Source organism: Homo sapiens, chromosome 9, assembly GCF_000001405.40.
Source record: "Homo sapiens chromosome 9, GRCh38.p14 Primary Assembly".
Taxonomy (NCBI): Eukaryota; Metazoa; Chordata; class Mammalia; order Primates; family Hominidae; genus Homo; species Homo sapiens.
The window spans coordinates 137,007,134-137,025,769 of NC_000009.12; the positions used below are offsets into that span (position 1 = coordinate 137,007,134).

Consider the following 18,636-nt stretch of genomic DNA (forward strand, 5'->3'; position numbering starts at 1 on the left):
TGCCAGCACCTGTGCCTGAGGGGCAGGGCCTTCTGGAGCGCTAACCCACCTGATGCGCCCATCCTCCCCACCCTTCCCAACCCACACACGCAGACCCGCAGACATTTTGTTTATTTATTTAAAACAAACATCTGTGCGCTATGTACAGGCCCGGCTCCCAGGGAGGTGGGCGGGCAGGGGGCCAAGCTGGGTGGGAGAGCGATGGCAGCTGGGGGTTGGGGGGGGTCTGGCCCCTTGCCTGGCCAGCAGGGTCAGCTTCTCCATTCCTGCCACCTGCCAGCTGGCCCAAGCTGATGGCTTCCCGCAGGACAGCCACCTCCCTGCAGGAGAGCAGGGCCAGAGGAGCCTCTTCTCAAAGCAAAATAAATACGGGACTGACCCAGCTCCGCCCACAGCCCGCTCTCGGCATCAGCCTTCATCGTAAGAGAGAAAAGCTGGTTCCGAGGCCGGGCAGGAGAAAGGCCAGCAGTGCCTGGTCCAGCCGGCGTCGCCTTGGGCGGTGAGCAGTGCCAGGCAGGGGCGAGGGGCCGGGCAGACCCCGAGGCTTTAAGGCAAAGCAGGGCAAGGGTGTACGCAGCCCGGGCCGGGTCAGCCTTTGGCACAATTAGGGGCGGCAACCGCAGTGACCACAGGGCATGGCCGAGTACAGGGGCTGGAGGACCAGAAGCCCCTTGGTCCTGAACCTCCACTCCAGGCCCTGGCAGGCACTGGGGGACTTCTGTCCCCATTGTTGAGTCCCTGGCCCAGCTCTGGGTGGTCAGTGGAGCGTGTCCTCCCTGGCCCAGCTCTGGGTGGTCAGCAGAGCGTGTCCGTGTTGAAGGACAGCTGGGCCTGTGCACAGGGGAGGTCAGGCTTATGGGGCATCCTGTGCCACCCCCTGCTGGGGCTGAGGACACTTGTGCTGGCCCGCCCCGGCCCTCCTGCAGGCTGGGCCTGGACGCAGGGTCTCCCCACGAGCTCCCTCTGTGTCTGGGCTCTCCCGGGCCTCCGTCTGCCGAGTCTGGGGGCCACTGAGTCTACATCGGTCCCCTGTTCCCCGGCTCTGGTCCCCTCTGCCCCACCCTTGCTCTGTGCCCCTCAAAGACTCTAGCAAGTCTGGACCATGCAGTTACGTCTCTCCAGGCCTATCTGCAAGTGTCCCTCGCCCACTCTGCCCCCTTGACCTCTGGACAGCAAGCATCCTGGGGCCAGTTCTCCCCCGACCCCACCCGCGGCTGGAGCCACCAGGCAGCCTGGGTCCAGTGGGCAGAGCCCTGGACAGCCATGAGAGCAGCCTGCTCACCCGCTCCTCCTCGAAGCTGATGAGGCCCTCGTCCTCCGTGTCCAGGTCCTCGGGCTCGTCTGCCACAAGTGCCCGGAGCTCCGTGGGGGCAGACCGGGGCCGGAGCAGGCTGAGCAAGCAGCCGAGAGGGGACTGCAGTGCGGATGGCGGCTCCGTCTCCTGCTGCTCCAGGTTGTCACTCTGCTTCTTGGCAAAGTTCACGAACACCTGGTGGGTGGCGCAGGCGTGTGGGGAGGGGGCTGGTCTGGGGTGAGGAGGGGCAGGGCGGGTGAGGGGAGGGGCAGGTGTGGTGCGCAGTGCCCTTGGGGCGCTCACATTGTCCAGTGTGGTCTGGCTGACCGAGTAGTCCTCGATGCCCAGCACGCCAGACACCTGCTCCATCTTGCTGAACACCTGGGCCAGCGAGATGTGCTCCGACTTGAGCTGGTACTGCACCTTTGTGTGGTGCCGCTCCTGCAGGGGGGGAGGTCAGAGGCCTGGCAGCGCCCCCCCACCCCGTAGCGCCCCCTCCACAACCCTGCCCGGGACGGCGCACCTTGAGCATGGCTTCCGGGAAGTTGCGGTTGAAGAACCGCACCACGTCCTTCACACTCTGGCTGCTCTTGGTCCGCACCGTGATCATGTAGCCATCTCCAAACCTGGTGGGACAGGCCGGTGGCCCGGAGCCCTGCGCCGCCCAGCCAGAGCCCCAGCCCCCCAGCCTCCCAGCCCTACAGCCCCCACAGGCACCCCAGGAAGCCCCATAGCCTCCCACAGCCCCCCAACCCCACAGCCCCCACAGCCCTCCAGGCTCCTCCCCTGGCCCCACTGCCCCAGTCCCCCCAGCCCCAGTGCCCCCAGCCCCCCTGGCCCCACAGCCCTCACAGCCCTGCAGCCACCCCCACTCCTGGCCCCGCTGCCTGGCCGCCCCCCCCGGGCCCGCCCCAGCCCACCCCTGGCCCTGCCCCGGCTCACCGGTTCTTCAGGTGCTGGATGCTGCCCAGGCACCGCAGGCGACCGTTCACCATGATGGCCAGCCGCGTGCACAGCGCCTCGCACTCCTCCATGCTGTGGGACATGCACAGGCTGGCACCGGAAGGGGTGCTGTGGGGTGGGGGCACAAAGAGGGGGTGGGGGCGCCCTCACCTGTGTGATGTCAGCACCACTGAACGCCCTGTCTTGATGAGGTCAAGGATGAGGTTCCAGAGGAAGCGCCGGGCCTTGGGGTCCATGCCTGTGGTGGGCTCGTCCTGGGGATGGGTGGCAGGCTCAGCTGCTGCCAGGCCCACACACCCCAGCCTGAACGCTGCCCCTGCCCGTGCTCACCAGGAAGTCAAAGGCCAGGCAGCCACCCCCCACCCACCCAGGACTTACCAGGAAGATGAAGGCTGGGTACCCAATGAGGGCGATGGCCGTGGAGAGCTTCCGCTTGTTGCCGCCGCTGTAGGTGCCAGCCGGCTTGTCTGCGTACTTGGTCAGCTCCAGCTTCTCCAGAGCCCACTTCACCACCTGGCCAGGGAACGCAGGTGTCAGTGGAGGCAGGGCCACCCAGCGTGCTGACTCCCTGCCCCGCCCCACAGATCCTCACCCGGGCCTCGTCCTTCCAGGAGATCCCACGCAGCCGCGTGTACAGCTGCAGGTGCTCCCGGGCCGTGAGCTCGTCGAACAGCGCGTCACACTGCGGGCAGTAGCCGAGGCTCTGCTGCACCTGGAGCAGCTCCTTCAGCACGCTGGGGACACGGCAGCTGTCAGCGCGTGAGGACGCGGCGGCCCCGCCCACCCAGGGCTCCCGCCCCACCTGTGTCCATTGACGAAGGCCTCGCCCCCCGTCGTGCTCTCGTCGCCGGTCAGCATCTTGAAGGTGCTGGTCTTGCCCGCACCGTTGACGCCCAGGAGCCCGAAGCACTCGCCAGGACGCACACCCAGGCACAGGCGGTCAACGGCCAGGATACGGCCAATCTTCCGGGACTTGTAGACCTGGCCAGGAGCCTGCCCACTCAGCGGGGCATCCTGCCCCCACCCTGCCCCTCTGGCCCCACCCCACCCAGACCCTGCCCCACCTCCAGAGCCCAGGGGGCCACGTGCCCCACAGCCCCACCCCATGCAGGCCCCACCCCCAGAGCTCAGGGCCCTGCCCACCCAGGCTCCACCTCCACTGCTGGGGCCCCACCCCCCTGGCCCTGGCCTACCCCACCCAGGCCCCACCCTACATGCCCAGAGCCCACCTTGGTCAGGTTCTCAATCTTGACCATGTCATTGTCGGCGTCTCCCCGGAGCACTCGCTGCCGCTCACTGGCCACGTCCACATCATCCTCCACAGGCTTGGTAGACACAGGCATGCGCCTTGGGGGACAGGGTGGACAGTGTCCAGCAGCTCGCCACCCCCACTGCCCCTCCCTGCCACCAGCCTCGCATCCTCTGGCTGTGGCATGTAAGAAGGGTGGGCAGGCCCCTCTGCTGTCCCCTGCCTCACCCCCTCCTGCCCCATCCCTGCCCCCACCCCCGCCCCTACCCTGCCCCACCCCCGAACCCATCCCTGCTCCCGCCCCGCCCCCGCCCCACCCCGCCCCCCACTCACTGTGGCCGCCGCAGGAAGTTGTACTGGCACATGATGGTCAGGAGGAAGCCCACGACGCCCTCAACCGCCATGGCCACCAGTCCGCGGGTGACAATGTCCCACTCGAACGGGGACTTCATCTTGTCAAACTGGCCTGCGGGGAGACAGCTCAGGGCCTGTGCTCTGGGCCTTGCGGGGCCCCCACCGCCTTCCCCGCCCCACGGGCCCCCTCACCAATCTTGGCGTAGTACTCGTTGATGTACTCGTTGTAGGCCATCTCCATGAGCCCGTGGCCCAGGTTGTAGTTGGGGAAAATGAGGAAGCAGCTTTTCAGGTAACTGTTGACAACCTTCAGGTCCTGCGGGGTGGCCGGGGTCAGGGGCACAGGGGTGGCCGGGGTGAGGGGCACAGCCTCCGCAGGGTCCGCCACCCCCACCATGTCGTCACCGCCCCACCTTGTCGTGCTCGAAGAGCTGTAGCAGGAAGGTGGCCACGGTGGCGGTGATGCCGATGAAGAGATTGATGACAATGAGGAACACGTAGGCGGAGCTGGGGACCTCGAACCAGAAGGAGGCCGGGTACATGATGGGCGTGATGGACCACCTGCGGGCAGGTGGCGGGCAGTGGTCACCAGGCAGCCCCGGTCCCACCTGAGGCCGCTCCCCCCTCCGCTTCCGCTTACCCATAGAGCAGGAAGAGGGAGAGGACGGCAGGGAAGTTGGTGGGCGACGTGTAGGCCGGCAGGTCGAACACAAACAGGATGATGACACAGCAGGTAGCGGGGACCAGGTAGTTGAGCTGCAGGGGTGGGGGCGGCTGGTGAGAGACCCGGGGCAGGGCGGGGATGGGGGATGAGAAGGGCCGGGGCACCCCATGGCCACGCCGGGCGCACCATGTCCCACACGTAGTTCGCCAGCCAGTAGATGATGGGGTTGCAGCCGCTGACAAACTGCAGGTGCTTGGCCTTGGTGGACTTCTCGGCCACGAGGAAGACAACGAAGCTGGCCGGCACGAAGGACATGGCCACGATGATGAAGATGGCGATGACGACATCCGTGCCCTGCAGCCTGGGGCAAGGAAGCCCTCAGTCCTCACGGCCGGGGCTGCAGTGCCCACCTGCCCCACCTCATCCCCCACTGGCCACACTTACAGGTAATCCAGGGAGAGGCTGGCGCTGGTCTTATTCATGGGGTGGTTGGTGACGGTGATGCCTGCACACGGCGGGGCGGGGGCGGCAGCTTCAGGCCCCAGCTCCTCCCCGCCCCGGCCCCAGCTCCTCCCCGCCCCGCCCCGCCCTGCCTATGTCAGCTCACCGTAAGCCGCCGGGTTGCCCTTGCTCTTGGGCAGGTTGGCACGCAGGATGGCGTTGTTGAGGCTGTTGAGGTAGGTGGGCATGCTGTGATAGCCCTTGTTGTTGTAGAAAACCTGCAGAAGGAAGAGGACACAGAAAGGCCCCAGGACCTCAGACCTGGGTCCCTGCAGACCTCGGGCGGCGCTACACACAGCGGGGCCCAGGCCCGCAGCCTCGCTCACCTGGGCAGCCCTGCGCACCGCGATCTTCCGCACCATGGGTGGGGCCCTGGTGCCAAATGAGGCTGGGATGGACTTCAGGACGTTTCCAAAGGTGATGGCCCCATACCTGGGCAGGCAGGTGGGAGGGGCGGTGAGGCTAGGCAGGCAGTGAGGCTAGAGGGGCAGGAGTTGAGACTAGGTGGCTGGTGGCCGGCCACCCTCACCCACAGCCTCCCCACCCAGCTCACCGGTGCAGTCGGAAGCGGTCGGAGGTGAAGAGCAGGTACTCAGAGACATTGTGGCCGGTGATGTCGGTCAGGATGTCGCCTGTGACCACCCGCATCTGGGGCGGGTGCCCGCCCACACTGCTGGGGCAGGAGAAGCCGGTGCCCTGCGCAGAGCAGGTGCAGCGGACGGGCTCCCGTACCAGGCGCGGCAGGGAGGGTGCCGACGTCCACATTTCTGTGGGCACAGCATGGTGCGGTGAGAAGGACCCCTCACTGCCCCTGCCCCCCCAGCAGGCCCCCTGAACCACTACCTGGCCCAGCGGTGGGCGGCAGGGAGACGTTCCAGGCCTGCAGGTCCTCATCCGGGGACGCTGGCGAGTCAGATGGGGCGGGCGAGGGTGGGGGTGGCACGAAATTGGACAGTGGCAGCCCCTGTGTGAAGGACTCCAGACACATGCTGTCGAAGAACCGAGCCGCCAGCAGGCGCGACTCCCCGCTGCTCAGGTTCAACGTGGGCCCCAGCGAGCCGTTGGCGGGAGACTTGAGCACGCAGGTGGCACCCACCCCCGACGGCAGCCGGAACGTGCTCACGAGCTGCTGGGGGCTGGCGTCGGGCGATAGCCGCAGCCTGCGGGCACCGACAGTGTGAGGTGGGGCTGCCAGTCTCCGCCCCTCGCCAGCCCCGCCCCCTCGCCCGCCTGGCCCACCAAGGCTGTCCCCGCCCCTTCACTCGCCCCACCCACCAAGGCTGCCCCCGCTGGAGGCCTCACCGGTACTCGCGGCGCTCCTCGTTGGCGTAGGGGATGAAATTGCCACGGGGCTGGGTGTAGTTGTGGTACTGGGAAGGTGACAGGACCAGCGGGGGCAGATCACCTGGCAGGGCGAGCAGGGAGGCCTGAGCAGGTTCTGCCCTCTGGCCAGCGGCCCCCAAGCCTCGGTCCCCTTCCCCCAACCCCAAGGGATCCACGCCTGGGGTCTGGGACCCGAGGAGACAGGACTCCCGGATGAACCCCGGTGCGTGCCCAGCCTCAGGTGTGGGGTGAGGCCCAGAGTCAGGAAGCTCAGGAGTGGGCATCATCAGGGCTCCCAGCGGGCGGTGGGGGGAGGCAAGCCCAGCACCCCTGTCCAGCCGGTGGCCTACCAATCTCCGGGACGGACAGGGCCACGGTCATGGCCACGCAGACGAAGAAGGCTGGCAGCAAGATCTGGGAGAAGAGTGCCTTGGAGTTGCGGCGGGCGCAGTGGAAGCGTTTGACCAGCAGCCCGTGGAACTGGCGCACCTTCAGCCACCCGCCGTCCAGCTTGCGGCTGCCCTGGCCGACCCTCGACAGGGCCTCTGCCTCCACCTCTGTGCAGAGAGGTAGAGGCTGAGCAGGTGGTTGCACGCTACCCTCTCCCTACTGGCTGCCCTCATGCCGCTCCCCCGCAACCCTGCTCCCCCTCCCTTGCTGTCCCAGCCTCACCCTGCCACCCCCACCTTGCAGGCTGACATTGTCTGGGTCCTGTGGGTTATCAAAGAGGGGGCGGTAGTCGCCATAGACGTCGGTGTAGCCAGCTCCCTCGTCGCCACGGGCAGAGCCCACAGATGACGCCGACTGCAGCGATGCCTGCGACTGGGTCAGCTCCGAGCACCGGGCCAGATTGCCAGCGTGACCCTCCCCAGACGCCGGGCCCTCCGCCCCAGGGAGCACATCCTTCCTGGACTCCTTCACATCTGCCGCAGTGGAAGGGCCGAGGGGACACTCAGGGCTACTGGCCCCTAGGCCTGCCCAGGACCCCCATCCCCGGTCTTGACCCCAGTTCCCAGGCTCATACACCTGTCCGGGACCTCTGGCCACCAGGACCACCCACCTAGGACCGCAGGCTAACCCCGGGGCGTCCCCTGGCTTCCACCCAGGACCAGGGTGGCGCCCCCAGACACCAGGCAGGAGTGACAGCGCAGGCCCGAGCTGGGGCCTTGTGGGTGGGGTGGGCTGAGCAAGTGGTCCAGGCCCCTCACCGGCCTCACTGTTCTCCAGCGACTGATCCTCCTCCGACACCTTGAGGAACACTTCCTCCAGGGTCGTGTCCATCAGCCCGAAGCTGCTGAGGTGCAGTGCATCCAGGCTGCGCTCCAGGTGCTGCAGGGGCGGTGGAGGGGGAGGCTGCGGCAGGGACGCCCAGGCAGGAGTGCGCCCACCTCCACCACCTGCAACTGCCCCCCGACCCGTGCGCCCTCACACCTGGAAGAGGCGCTCGAAAGCCCCCTTCTTGGCGGCCTCGCTGGGCAGGATGTAGGAGAGCTCCGTGCTTGTGTCTGAGACCAGCAGGCAGGAGGCCACATGCTTGCGGATGAACTGGGACACCTGGAGCTCGGAGCAGCTGCTCAGCGGGGCCCGACCTGGGGGGCTGGATGCCAGCCCTGGCTCTGTGGGGGACGTGGGAGCAGGAAGGAATTCACTCAGGGGCTGGGAGGAGGGACCCCCAATGGGAACCCAACTGGGTCAAGATATGGGCATTGGAGAGGAAGAACCAGGCCCCAGCAGGTATCCTGGGCCCAGGGGGTGACGCTGAGGACCCAGCCTCTCCAAGATACGGGCGTTGCAGAGGGCGGGCCAGGCCCCAGCAGGCATCCTGGGCCCAGCGGGTGACGGTGAGGGCCCAGCCTCTCCATTGTGGATTCTCAGGTGGGGGTCCCGGGGAGAAGGTGGCCCGAAGCCAGCTCAGGCAGCTTCAACACAGACCTTGGGGGCCCCCCGGCTCGGCGGGCCGCTTGACCAGCGTGAGGCGGTACCCGTCGCCATAGGTGCCCTTGAGGAAGAGCGGGGAGCCGCAGCACTTGAGCTTCCCATGGGAGATGATGGCAATGCGGTCCCCAAGCAGGTCAGCCTCATCCATGTGGTGGGTGGACAGAAGGATGGTGCGGCCTAGGACAAGGCCAGACCCAGGGTCAGGGGGCAGGGGAGGCGCCGCCCGCACCCCTGCCCACACGGCACCCCACTCACCTGGCTTGTACTTCAGGATGAGGTCCCAGATGGCGCGGCGCGCGTAGGGGTCCACGCCCGCCGTGGGCTCGTCCAGGATGATGGCGCGAGAGCCGCCCACGAAGGCGATGGCCACGGACAGCTTGCGCTTCATGCCACCCGACAATGTCTGCACCAGTGAGTGCCGTTTGTTGGAGAGCTCCAGGTCCTCGATCATCCTGGGACAGGGAGGTGGGGCATGGGGCTGCTGCTATGCAGAGCCCCAGGGCCTCCGCCCACCTGCCCCGCCCCCCGCCCAGCCCACCCACTTGTCCATCTCTCTGCGGATCTCCTCCTGAGCCATGCTCTTGAGCCGTGAGTAGAACCAGAGGTGTTCCTCCACCGTGAGCCGGTCAAAGAGCACATTGTGCTGCGGGCACATGCCCAGGTTCTTGCGGATCTCATCCATCTCCGTGCGGATGTCGTGCCCGTAGATGGTGGCGGAACCCGACGTTGGAGGGAACAGGCCGGTCAGGATGGACCTGGGTAGGTGGGCGGGGTCATGACCCCACGCCCTCTGCAGGGGCCCCACCCTGCCCTGACTAGGACTCCTGCTCTGGTCAGCAGATGCCCACCGCCCTGCCCCTCCGACACTCACATGGTGGTGGTCTTGCCCGCCCCGTTGTGGCCCAAGAAGGAGACCACCTGGTTCTCGTAGAGGTTCAGGCTCAGCTTGTTCAGGGCCAGCTTCTTGTCGTCCTTGTAGACCTTGGTGAGTTTGTCCACGCAGACAACCAGAGGCAGGTGGGTGGGCTCCTCCTCCATGCCACGGGTCTCCTCTGCACCAGGGCTGTGGATCAGCAGGGTGGGGGCGGCGCCAAGGCCACCCAGGACTCTGAACCCAGCGCCCACCCCAGCCACCATTCTGATGCCAGCCTCACCAAAGCGCCGGCTCTCCATGGCACAGGCCTGGTCCTCCTCCATGACACTGAGGCGGGGGGTGCGTGCCCACGGCCAGCTCCACTCCCAGGCTTCTGTCCGCCCACTGCCCAGCCAGTAGGACTTCTGCAGTGGGAAGTACCAGGGCCGGGGCAGCCCGTACATGCCTGGGGGTCGGGGAGGGGAGGGGAGGCTGACCTAGGGCCTGGGGTGACCATCCACCACGTGGGCCACGTGCCCACCCAGGGAGCCACCCGTGCTGCATCCAGGAGTGGACACAGACTGCTGGTCCCCAACCCTGGCTGGGGACCCCTGCCTCTCCCCTGCCCTCCAAGGGCTGGCCAGTACCTGGGTGCACAGCCTCAATGTACCACGTGAGGATGCCATAGACCACGGCGTCCACCATCAGCATGGTGACAGCCAGGAGCAAGTTGAAGTCGTCCCCCTCCACCGGGGACTGGCTGAAGGTGTGCCACTGGATGCCCACGCCGGCCACCTCATACAGCGCGAAGTACTTAGAGCCCAGACCAAAGGCCGTCGTGGACATGAGGGACTGAGAAGGCAGTGGTGTCAGCACGTGGGGTGGCCCGGCACCCCAGCCGCCCGCCTGCCCGCGACCCTCACCGCGATGCACTTCTCGAAGGCCGTGATCTTATCATGCGCCACCTCCTCTCGGATCGCCACGTACATGTAGGGCACGTAGCTCAGGAAGTAGATGATGCCACCGCAGGCCGAGGCCAGCTTGGCCTTGGAGTACAGCACAGACACCAGGAAGCTGGGTGGGCAGGGGCCACGCGCACCGTCATCCACCCGCACGCCCGGCCTCCTGGGCAGGCCCGTGCCAGGGTCCAGGGGGCTCTGAGAGGATGTGGGGTGAGCTTGCTGGGCAAGTGCCTGCCCCAGGTCCCTCCTACCATGGCCCGCGCTCACCAGAACATGATGGTGGCCACCGCGTAGACTGCCAGGAAGAGCCAGATGATGACCACGTGGCTGTGCATAAGCACCTGGCCGTACTTCAGGATGGCGGTGAGTGCTGTCACGGAGATGGACAGCTGCACAAAGCCGGTGATGAACCAGGCCACCCAGTGCACCGCGTTGTTCAGGCCCATGGTCTTCATCACCTGCGGGTGGGCCAGGGGCTTGGGGCAGGCCCCGGGGAGGACGCCGCCCCTCCCTGCCAGCCCGCGCCTCCAGGGAGAGTCCCGGCCCGCGCACCTCCTTGAGCCGGTGCTCCTTCTCCGCCACGATGTGCTGGATGGTCATGGCCACGGAGTAGACCCAGGAGATCACCATGCACAGCGGCATCATGTGCTCAATGACAAACAGGAAGCTGCGGGGAGGCCGCGCTCAGGCGCCACTCAGCCCCAGCCCCAGCCCCAGCCCCGGGCGCCCAGCACTCACTCATCGCGTGTGTAGCAGGGGTAGGGGAACATCTGCACGTAGCTGCCTGGCTCCACCACATCGTGCCCCACAAAAGTGTCGATGATGGCGCGCTCCATCATGTCTGTGGGTGGGGGCAGCCATCAGGTGCCGGGCAGGCCCTCTCGTCCTCACACCTGTCCTCCCCCATGAATCCTCCAGCCGGTCTTCCGGGCCTGCTCCTCACCCTGGATCCAGACGAAGCCGTAGAGGAAGTAGAAGCGGCCGCCAGTATTGGGCCCAGGCCGCCAGTAGGCGCGGCGGATCTCGTTGGTTTTCTCGGTGAAGCTGGAGTTCTGGCGGATCTTGTAGTGCACGTGAGGCGGGAGCGAGCCGTCCTTCCGGGTCTGGAAGATCACACCTGGGGCCGGGAGGTTGGGGCGGGGCCAAGATGCAGGGGCGGGACCAAGGCGTGGTGGGGGGGAAAGCAAGGCACGGGGGCGGGGCCAAGGTGTGGGGGCGGGGACAGGAGGGTCCAGGGAAAGGTGGGACAGGGCTGGGGTGGGGGCCCCAGGGGAAAGGTGGGCAGAAGTGGGGAGGTGCAGGGAGGGGGCGGGTTGTGGGTTGGGGCCGTTTGGAAGGGGCAGGGGTGGGGAGGGGAAGTGGCGGGTGAGGGGGGAAGGCCAGGGCGCGGCCAAGGAGTGGGAGGGCACAGGGGGACGGGTGGGGCTGGGCTGGGGAGGAAGAGGTCTGTGGGGGGCTGGGGCGGGGCGGGGAGGGCAGCTCACTGGCAAAAACAGTGACGTTGTCCTGGTAGGCCTGGTTGAGGGTGTAGTTGACAATGCTCTCCTCGTCGGGGAAGCCCTTGAAGATGTCCACGCTCACCTAGCGGGAGGGGCATCGCTGGAGCCCGCCGTGGGCATGTGCGAGGCAGGGGGTGTCGTGGGTTGGCTCGGAGGCCCCACCGCTCACCTTGGACATGAACTGGATCCAGCCGCAGGCCGCGTTGTCAATGGTATCCAGCTGCTGCAGGAGGGCCATGCCACTGGGCAGCGAGAAGTTGTCCTGTCTCAGGGCCGGCGGCAGCTCATCCAGTGACAGGTTCAGTGCCTCGGGGTGCAGCCGCAGCTCTGCTACATACTTGGGGTGGAGGGGCGGCTCAGAGGGGGACCTGCGCCTGCCGAGCCGGGCAGAGAGGGGCTCCCCACACCACCCACAGCCGCCTCCCTCGCGGGCACCCTTGGCACCTGCTGCAGCCAGCGCAGGTGTTGCTGCAGCCTGCCCTGCTCCAGGAAGCTGCGGATCTCCGCCGAGATGTTGAGCCAGACCTGGGCATAGTGAGTCACGTTGCCCACAAAAGCAAAAGTCTCGTTGGCCTGCAGGGGGTGAGGCAGGGGCATGGAGTTTCTGGACGGACCCCCACCGACTTGGGGGCTCTCACCCCACTCACCTCCCCAGTGGCTGGTCCATTGCCAACAACTAACCCTCCCCACCTTTTTTTTTTTTTTTTTCCTGAGACAGGGTCTCAGTCACCCACGCTGGAGTGCAGTGGTGCAGTCCCAGCTCACTGCAGCCTCCACCTCCCAGGCTCAAGGGATCCTCCCGCCTCAGCCCTCCAAGTAGCTGGGATTACAGGTGCCCACCACCACGCCTGGCTAATTTTGTATTTTTGGTAGAGACGGGCTTCCGCTATGTTGCTCGGGCTTGTCTCAAACTCCTGAGCTCAAGCGATCCTCCCACCATGGCTTCCCAAAGTGCTGGGATTTCAAGCGTGAGTCCCACGCCCGGGCTCTCCACTCCTTTCTGCGGCGCTCAGGTGAAACCTGCTTTGCCCTCCACTCCCAGGGCAGCACGGCCTCCGGACCCCCAACTGCCCAGCTGTGCCCACCAGCTCCTTTGCTGGACCTGTCTCCATGTGTCCCTTAAGCACCCAATGCTCCACCCTCATCTGTCCCACCCTCATCCTAGGGACCCCCTCTACACCCAGGATTGGCCTCGTCCACAGGCCCTCCCCTCCCAGGCCAATGTCCAGCCCTGGCCTCTGCTTGTTCCAGACAGGACCCCTCACCCAGAACCCAAACTGCCCAGCTGCCCGCCCACGAGACACTCTGGAAGGTCTCTGGACACACCCCTCCTCCACCAGCACTGCCCTGGACCGGCCACCCCCAGCCGGAGGACCCTGCCAGAGCAGACTCTCCAGTGCCTTCCCACAGCAGCCCCTGGAGCTCCCGAAAGGAAAAGCGACCCCCTGGTCCCCCACCTGCAGAGCCTGTGTCCCATCCGAAGCTGCACCCCGTACCCCTCCCGTGTCAATTCTGCCGACACCCTCTGCCCAGGGGTCCCAGGCCTGCAGAGACCCCCTCCCACTCTGCCTGTCAAACATGGAGCGTCCCAGACCCGTGCACCTTGAGGATGACGCGGTCGACCTCAGAGCCCGCAGGCGCGTACAGGATTTTGGGGTTGCTGGTCATGAGGTGCACGAGGAGGCCCAGGTTCCGCTGCTCCTTGCTCGTGAAGCCCAGGGAGCTCATGTTGCCCCGCCGCAGCGCCTCGGGTTCAATGGTGCTGGGGTAGGGGACAGGGGGCCGGGCCAGGCCGTTAGGGGGCAGGGCCGCGAGAGTGGGAGGGGCATCGGGATGGGGCAGGACTTCGGGGCACAGGGCAGGGCGCCAAATGAGACCTCCAGAGCCAGAGCCTAGATTCAGGGCTCACGCCCTGCCCCTGGCTGTCCTCCTCACCCCCATTCCCCTGCCGCCCACCTACCGGTTGTTGCCACACAAGATGGGCTGCAGGCCGGCCCAGAGCTGTACGAAGGCTGAGCACTGGCCCTGCAGCGTGTCCGGGGTGGCCAGTGCTGCAGCAGAGGGTGCGCCCTCCTCAGCGGTGGCGTTGGGGCCCATGACTGCCCCTGCCCCAGTGCCATTGGCCGCCCCACCCGCACCACTGGCTGGGGGTCCGGGGGTCCGGCCAGTGCAGGCACCCTGGGGCAGTAGCAGGGCCAGGGCCGACAGGACATCCACATCCTGCAGAACCTTCTGGGCATCCAGCAGGTCCCCCAGAAGCGCCTGCAGCCTCCGTGGGGGTGGCGCCTGTGGCGAGGAGTCCGAGCCGTTGGGGGCATCCAGGCCCAGCTGAGGGGAAACAGGCACGTGGGCAGTGCGGGGTGAGATGGACTGCAGGTGGGTGATAGGTCAGGAGTGGAGCAGGGAGACAGCAGCAGGGAGACACAAGCTAGGGGTGCTGGGAGGGAGTCTGCAGCCTGGGTAACGGGAGCCCAGGACAGGAGCTGGGATGGTGAGCAGGAGTGGGGCACCAGCCATGGTGCCATTGGATACCCACCCACAGGCAGCATCCCACGCACAGCCTGGGCCCAGGAGCCCTGAGCTCTCCAAGCGGTCCCAGCCCCTCCTTCAACTCAGGCAGCAAGCAGCGCAGCGGGCAGTGGGCAGGCAGGGCCTCACCTGCTGGGAGACCTTGGCCACGTCCAGCTGGTTCCGGAGCTCAGCAGACAGCCCAGAGAAGCGCCTGGCACGCGCAGCAGCCTGCCCACTGCAGACAGCATCCCGGTAGCCCTGCAGGGCTCCCTTCTGACTCTCAGGCACAGTGAGGATCCGGCCCAGCTCCCCCGAGCCCGGCGTGCAGGTGAGCTGCTCCAGGAGGGCAGGAGCCAGCAGCAGCTCCTGGGATGGGCACAGGGGTCCGTGGAGCCACGGCAAGGACTTTGTCCCCAACCACTAGGGCCTCAGGCCTCACCCTGCCCCACCCACTGGCTGGCTCTGGGGCTGCCTGGGTCCCACGACATGCCTCTACCCCTCATGCCTGCCATAGACCCCTGGGACCCTCCCCCTCTCCCAGGAGGAGCTCCAAGTCACCAAAGGGGCCCTTTCCTCACCCACGGAGCAGAAGCACCCCCAGAGGCAGGCAGCACTCCAGGCCCATCCCACACATGGATGCCCTCACCTCCATCCGGAACAGGGGATTGCCCCCTAGGCGGCTCCAGGGCTCCTGACCCTTGTGGAGGCCAGACTGTGAATCCAGGGCAGATGAGGGACCAAAGAGCAGGTGGTAGACCTAGGAGGTGTGGGGGAATGGCTCAGATGGGGTGTGGGGGGCGTGGCTCAGATGGTGGGGGCGTGGCTCCGATGGACGTGTGGGGGCGTGGCTTAGATGGTGGGGGCGTGGCTCAGAGAGTGGGGGCGTGGCTCAGATGGTGGGGGCGTGGCTCCGATGTAGGTGTGGGGGCGTGGCTCAGATGGTGGGGGCATGGCTCAGAGAGTGGGGGCGTGGCTCAGATGGTGGGGGCAAGGTTCAGACGGTCTGGGCGTGACTCAGGCTGAGCATCCTGAGGATGGCTCAGCAACCAGGGGGCGTGGCTGGGGCAGAAGGGAGTGGCCAGGGCTGGGAGCTGTCCCTGCCTTACCTCGGGCGGGTCCACACGGGCGGCCAAGAGTGCTTGGGCCGTGCTATTGGGCAGCGACAAGTTTTGCGTCAGGAAACGCCAGAGCTCCTGCGGGTTTCTGGCCACCGAGTCCAGAGAGAAGGAAGACACTGGACAGGCAGGAAGGCGAGGCTGAGAGGCCGCTGCACCTTGGCAAGGTGCCCCCACATGCGCTCGGAGCCGAGCCCAACACCACAGCTCTGCCACTGCAGCCTGTGCGTGGCTGGGAACTCAGTGCAGGTGGAGGGGCCCAGAGTGGATGTGGGCTTCAGCCCAGTGACAGCAGAGCTTTGCCCGCAGCCCTGCCCCCCAACTTCCCTGCACAGGGCACACCTGTGGATCTGTCCAGGTGGCTCCCCGAGGTGCCCGGGCCCGCACTGAGGGCCTCCAGATGCTGGCGTAGGGCCTCGAGCTCTGAGCCCAGGCTGGGCCGCGCTGGGTCAAACAGGTTGCCTTCCTCCACCACGCGGTCCAGGCGCTCAAGCAGCTGCGTGACCCTGCACCATGGCGGATGTCACTCACTGGATGGGCTGGGGAGGGGTGGGTGCTCCGAGGGGCGGGTGGGCACTCACGTGGAGTTGGCGTACTGCAGGAAGCCGAACTCGTCTCGCTGGCCGTCCGGGCACAGCGATTGCATGACAGGCAGGATGCCGGCAGACGTCAGGGGCGCCGCTGTGTAGAAGGCTGGCAGACCCACGGGAGAGGGCAGGGTCGGGGGTGAAAGGGGAGAGAGAGAGAGAGGAATCCAGAAGGGGAGGGAGACAGAGGCCGAGAGGAGAAATTTAGAGAAAGTCAGGAAGGAGAAGCAGCGTTAGGGAGAAGGCGGCACAGAGCCCTGGCCCCAGCTGGGCTACAGGCCAAGCGTTCTGGGGCGAATGACTCCAGCAGGTCAGAGGTCAAAGAGCCACTCACCACCCCTTCTGCCATAACTCCCAGAGCATTCCTTTCCTTTCAGCCAGTGCAGGCCCACATGCCCTGGCACTCTCCCCCCGAAAACGTTTCAGGTGTGGCACTGCCTACAGAGCCCAGGGGAGGACAAAGGACCCCCTCTGGGCAGTGACCTCTGACCTCTGGCCAGCTGGTTAGCAGAGTGAGTGCAAGAGCCTGAAGGAGTATGAAGGGAGAGTAGCCAGGCCGCTCCAGCCCCAGCCCAGGCCAGCCCAGCCTCAGCCCAGACTCAGCCCAGAAGCCGAGGCACCCCAGCCCTAGAAGGCAAGGCCAGGCAGAGAGATGCCGCCTCAGCTTGACCCAGGCACCAGCTGTGCCTTTAGGTGGCCGGGCCTTTCACTCCCTACCACCTCCCACTTCACTGCCTGCCACCCCCCATCTGGAGCCAGCTGTTCCTGAGGCCGGCAGGGGGCCCGGGAGGGCTGTTAATGCAAGCGGGGAGGGCGCTCAAGCCAGGACGGCCCATGGGCCCCCCGCAGCTGCTGCCCAGGCCAGCCAGGAGGAGGTGGCCGCTCACTTACAGACTGCATGCCAGCCGAGGACAAGAGACCATGCGGGGAGGGAGGGGGATCAAAACAGAACAGAGGAGACCAGTGAGTGCCCACATCACCAGGAAGAGGCGTTGGCATCATCATTCGCGGCCACAGGCCAGCCCCGACCTCCACAGCCCAGCCAGGAGGCACGGCCCAGGACCACACAGGGGAGCAGGCACCGCACCTCAGGGACTCCGGGAGCAGGACACCCGTGTGCAGATGTGCACACACAGCGCAGGCGTGCGAGGTGCCGCGCTCCCCCGGCTGTGCCTGGGGCCTCCTGCCGCACTCACCTTCCTTCACGGAGATGGTGGGCTTCTTCTGTCGCAGCCCCAGCAGGATAAAGAACAGCACCAGGGGGATGAAGATCTCGAAGGCCAGGACCCACTGGAAAGGGTGGGCCCAGTGAGGGATAGGACAGACCTGTGCTCGCCTAGGCCCTCCCCAGCCTCCCATAGGGCTGGCCCAGCCCAGACAGGACCACGTGCTCCCTGGGGCCAGGGAAGGTGGGCACAGGCCCTTCGGAACCACTGAAGGTCTGAGCCCCTTCCAGGGCACTGAGGGTAAGGATTGTCTGGCTCAGCAAATCAGGTTTCCCGTCCCCAGCCCACACTGGGCCTACGTGCCCTCTGAGGAGCCTCAGGGCCTACAGGGACAAATCGGCCAGCTTGTGGTCTACTCTGACCCATGTATATCCCAGCTCATCTTCTCCCTCCCCACCTCCAGGGCTACCTGGGCAAAATCTTGGGGACCATCTGAGCCACTAGCCCCGCCTACACTTCCCACACTGCCCCGGGTTCACCTTCCTCCCACTTCCTCCCCACCAATACCGGGGCCTGGGGAGATGAGGAGGCCTGGTTGAGAGGCTTGGCCTGCGCCCAGGGCCCTGAGCCTCGGAGAAGACCTGGTAAGGGGTCTAACAGCCCCAGTCCCTGAAGCAAAGGCACCTTTTTTTTTTTTTTTTTTTGAGACGGAGTCTCACTCTGTCACCCAGGCTGGAGCACAGTGGTGCGATCTCAGCTCACTGCAAGCTCCGTCCCCCAAGTTCACACCATTCTCTTGCCTCAGCCTCTCGAGTAGCTGGGACTACAGGCGCCCGCCACCATGCCCAGCTAATTTTTTGTATTTTTAGTAGAGACGGGGTTTCACCGTGTTAGCCAGGATGGTGTCGATCTCCTGACCTCGTGATCCGCCCACCTGGGCGTGAGCCACCACACCTGGCCCAAAGGCACCTCTTTCTGCCCTGTCCCCTCTCCTGACCCGGGGCAGCCAGTCTTGGGCCTTGGAGCTCAGTTTCCCCAGGTCGGCTCCTGCTAACCCAGGCTGGGCACCAAGGTGAGCCCTAGTGGGACCTGCGTGGAGTGAGAAAGAGGTGCTTTGCTCACTTCACCTGAAAACCAAGGACTTTACCGGTTCTTGTGTCCCAGCCCCCAGCTCAGGGAGGAGGAGGAGCTTGAGCCAGCTACCCTCCAGAGAGCCCTCGGCAGACCAGCCCTCTCTGAGACCCACAGGACAGAGGGGCCCTGCCCTCCCTAGCCCGAGGGCGAGCACCCAGCTCGGAGGCATCCTTTGTCCTCATCCCCATCCCAAAACCCTTCAGAGCCCCCAGTGTGCTGTGTGGCCCGGGCCGAGTCCCCGGTCCCTGGGGTGGGGGCGGCTGCTGTGTTTACTGTGCTTGGACAATAGGGCTTTGTGGCCAGGAACATCATGCTGTGGGTGTCCCATGCCCGCCCCAGCCCGTGCCAGCCTCCACCCGCTCCCTGAGCCAGGACGGAGCCCAGGGTTCGCCAAGGCACTGTGGGCACCAACAGGCACCAGGGCGAGGGTGGCTGCAGGAGTGAGGCAATGTCAGAGGCAGGGGTCACAGCACGGGGCGCCAGCCCCGCCCACACCCGGCCTGCTATGGGCACTGTAACTGCA

At 66.3% G+C, this 18,636-nt stretch overlaps 1 protein-coding gene across 4 annotated transcripts in view, besides 2 other annotated features; it reads right to left on the reverse strand.

Annotated features, from left to right (window-relative positions):
- ABCA2 (ATP binding cassette subfamily A member 2) overlaps nucleotides 101-18,636 on the reverse strand; it is a 21,689-nt gene continuing 3,153 nt past the window's right edge. For 2 of the 4 annotated variants that reach the window (NM_212533.3, NM_001606.5), the window contains exons 2-49: nucleotides 17,010-17,103; nucleotides 16,705-16,707; nucleotides 15,808-15,919; nucleotides 15,569-15,732; nucleotides 15,218-15,345; nucleotides 14,758-14,868; nucleotides 14,259-14,477; nucleotides 13,561-13,928; nucleotides 13,203-13,362; nucleotides 12,045-12,173; nucleotides 11,770-11,937; nucleotides 11,586-11,682; nucleotides 11,045-11,218; nucleotides 10,840-10,942; nucleotides 10,654-10,768; nucleotides 10,369-10,559; nucleotides 10,063-10,213; nucleotides 9,787-9,991; nucleotides 9,441-9,605; nucleotides 9,158-9,338; nucleotides 8,829-9,041; nucleotides 8,542-8,738; nucleotides 8,281-8,463; nucleotides 7,780-7,964; nucleotides 7,557-7,677; nucleotides 7,035-7,271; nucleotides 6,699-6,905; nucleotides 6,328-6,430; nucleotides 5,869-6,185; nucleotides 5,579-5,792; nucleotides 5,352-5,457; nucleotides 5,132-5,243; nucleotides 4,969-5,029; nucleotides 4,711-4,885; nucleotides 4,501-4,616; nucleotides 4,274-4,421; nucleotides 4,053-4,176; nucleotides 3,840-3,972; nucleotides 3,487-3,604; nucleotides 3,060-3,238; nucleotides 2,850-2,991; nucleotides 2,636-2,770; nucleotides 2,408-2,511; nucleotides 2,237-2,329; nucleotides 1,818-1,920; nucleotides 1,598-1,735; nucleotides 1,283-1,489; nucleotides 101-831 (exon numbers count right to left, since the gene is read on the reverse strand). In NM_212533.3, the coding sequence (NP_997698.1) occupies nucleotides 796-831; nucleotides 1,283-1,489; nucleotides 1,598-1,735; nucleotides 1,818-1,920; nucleotides 2,237-2,329; nucleotides 2,408-2,511; nucleotides 2,636-2,770; nucleotides 2,850-2,991; nucleotides 3,060-3,238; nucleotides 3,487-3,604; nucleotides 3,840-3,972; nucleotides 4,053-4,176; nucleotides 4,274-4,421; nucleotides 4,501-4,616; nucleotides 4,711-4,885; nucleotides 4,969-5,029; nucleotides 5,132-5,243; nucleotides 5,352-5,457; nucleotides 5,579-5,792; nucleotides 5,869-6,185; nucleotides 6,328-6,430; nucleotides 6,699-6,905; nucleotides 7,035-7,271; nucleotides 7,557-7,677; nucleotides 7,780-7,964; nucleotides 8,281-8,463; nucleotides 8,542-8,738; nucleotides 8,829-9,041; nucleotides 9,158-9,338; nucleotides 9,441-9,605; nucleotides 9,787-9,991; nucleotides 10,063-10,213; nucleotides 10,369-10,559; nucleotides 10,654-10,768; nucleotides 10,840-10,942; nucleotides 11,045-11,218; nucleotides 11,586-11,682; nucleotides 11,770-11,937; nucleotides 12,045-12,173; nucleotides 13,203-13,362; nucleotides 13,561-13,928; nucleotides 14,259-14,477; nucleotides 14,758-14,868; nucleotides 15,218-15,345; nucleotides 15,569-15,732; nucleotides 15,808-15,919; nucleotides 16,705-16,707; nucleotides 17,010-17,103 (7,245 nt within the window). In that variant the 3' untranslated portion in view covers nucleotides 101-795. The remainder of the gene's footprint in view (nucleotides 832-1,282; nucleotides 1,490-1,597; nucleotides 1,736-1,817; nucleotides 1,921-2,236; nucleotides 2,330-2,407; nucleotides 2,512-2,635; nucleotides 2,771-2,849; nucleotides 2,992-3,059; nucleotides 3,239-3,486; nucleotides 3,605-3,839; nucleotides 3,973-4,052; nucleotides 4,177-4,273; nucleotides 4,422-4,500; nucleotides 4,617-4,710; nucleotides 4,886-4,968; nucleotides 5,030-5,131; nucleotides 5,244-5,351; nucleotides 5,458-5,578; nucleotides 5,793-5,868; nucleotides 6,186-6,327; nucleotides 6,431-6,698; nucleotides 6,906-7,034; nucleotides 7,272-7,556; nucleotides 7,678-7,779; nucleotides 7,965-8,280; nucleotides 8,464-8,541; nucleotides 8,739-8,828; nucleotides 9,042-9,157; nucleotides 9,339-9,440; nucleotides 9,606-9,786; nucleotides 9,992-10,062; nucleotides 10,214-10,368; nucleotides 10,560-10,653; nucleotides 10,769-10,839; nucleotides 10,943-11,044; nucleotides 11,219-11,585; nucleotides 11,683-11,769; nucleotides 11,938-12,044; nucleotides 12,174-13,202; nucleotides 13,363-13,560; nucleotides 13,929-14,258; nucleotides 14,478-14,757; nucleotides 14,869-15,217; nucleotides 15,346-15,568; nucleotides 15,733-15,807; nucleotides 15,920-16,704; nucleotides 16,708-17,009; nucleotides 17,104-18,636) is intronic. The other 2 variants (XM_047422921.1, NM_001411042.1) reach the window with 1 other exon arrangement.
- Nucleotides 3,303-4,502: an enhancer, noted in NCBI's record as "CDK7 strongly-dependent group 2 enhancer chr9:139904888-139906087 (GRCh37/hg19 assembly coordinates)". NCBI's record gives its function as "activates an origin of replication core promoter dependent on BRD2, BRD4, P300/CBP, MED14 and CDK7 cofactors, with strong dependence on CDK7, by STARR-seq in HCT116 cells {active_cell/tissue: HCT116}" and the evidence as "EXISTENCE:reporter gene assay evidence [ECO:0000049][PMID:35650434]".
- Nucleotides 15,460-16,039: an enhancer, noted in NCBI's record as "H3K27ac-H3K4me1 hESC enhancer chr9:139917045-139917624 (GRCh37/hg19 assembly coordinates)". NCBI's record gives its function as "activates a minimal SCP1, AML or CMV promoter by ChIP-STARR-seq in naive H9 embryonic stem cells {active_cell/tissue: H9 hESC(naive)}" and the evidence as "EXISTENCE:reporter gene assay evidence [ECO:0000049][PMID:30033119]".